This window comes from Homo sapiens, chromosome 15 (assembly GCF_000001405.40).
Source record: "Homo sapiens chromosome 15, GRCh38.p14 Primary Assembly".
In the NCBI taxonomy this organism is placed as follows: Eukaryota; Metazoa; Chordata; class Mammalia; order Primates; family Hominidae; genus Homo; species Homo sapiens.
This window is the reverse complement of record NC_000015.10, coordinates 67,918,227-67,919,321: the sequence shown is the minus strand read 5'-3', so window position 1 is coordinate 67,919,321 and position 1,095 is coordinate 67,918,227. Positions and strand designations below refer to the sequence as shown.

At 49.1% G+C, this 1,095-nt stretch overlaps 1 annotated feature.

Moving 5' to 3' along the window:
• Positions 308–894: an enhancer, noted in NCBI's record as "H3K27ac-H3K4me1 hESC enhancer chr15:68210766-68211352 (GRCh37/hg19 assembly coordinates)". NCBI's record gives its function as "activates a minimal SCP1, AML or CMV promoter by ChIP-STARR-seq in naive H9 embryonic stem cells {active_cell/tissue: H9 hESC(naive)}" and the evidence as "EXISTENCE:reporter gene assay evidence [ECO:0000049][PMID:30033119]".

The following is a 1,095-nucleotide window of genomic DNA, read 5'->3' as shown; positions in this document are numbered from 1 at the left end:
AATAGAAATGAAGAAAAAGAAATTTTTATTGACCACAATAGAAAATTAATTAAAATTTATAAATTAAGAAACAGAAATTTAAGAATTTACAACAGATATCAGTAAACTACATCCCACAGTGATTAGCAACAGGAAGCAGACAAATCCTAGTCAGACAGAGGTGGGTCCCCAGTGAAACCTGACCTTCAAGCCAAAGACTGTTTGAACCCTAGCTACAAGTCCTGGGTAAATCCTTGGACCAGATTGAGAACCTCTCTTCCCATTTGGTGTGCTTTCCCCTGATTGATCCCTACCCTTCACCTATTTTACATGTATCTACCCTTCCTCAATTGGGATTTTACACCGTCATGCCCACCTTTGAGTGGTACCTTCGTTTTAGGCTTTCTTGCGTACTCACAAACCAATCAGCATGCACTCTCCCATTCTGGGCCCATAAAAGCCTCAGACCCAGCCACATTGATTGAAAGACCACCTGATTTCAAGTGGGGGACCAACCTTGTGTCCCTGCTCTGCTGAGAGCTGTTTTCATTGCTCAATAAAATTCTTCTCTGCCCTCCTCACCCTTTGTCAGCATAACCTCATTATTCTTGGATGTGAAACAAGAACTCAGGACCCACTGAATGCAGGTACAAAGAAGGCTGTAACACTGTGGCCTTCTGCCCTCTGCCAGCAGAAGGCAGCTGCCCTAAACAATAGGAAGCAGCAGCAAGGCCGAGCCACGGGCTGGAGCGGGTCAACGGGGCTGACAGAGCTGTTAACACACTGCCATCCATTGGGCCACGGAAAATGGGACTAAAAGAGCTAATTAGCACACTGTAACACACCCTCTGGGCTTCAGGGTCCAGGGCACCGCTGCTTGGGTGCCACCACATTCCCCTCGTCTGGACACCAGAGTCTACCACAGGAGTCGCTTGTGACACACCTGGTTCAGCCACAAGCCCTGCATGGATCCCACTCCTGTGCCGGCTCTTAGAACAGCTGGCTGGACCCTGCTGTCACTGGCTCACACATCCCCTCCTGCCAGCACAGTCACAGCAGACACAGCACCCACACTGGAGTGCAAGCCAGGCATAGCCCAGCAGTAGATGGGGCCTC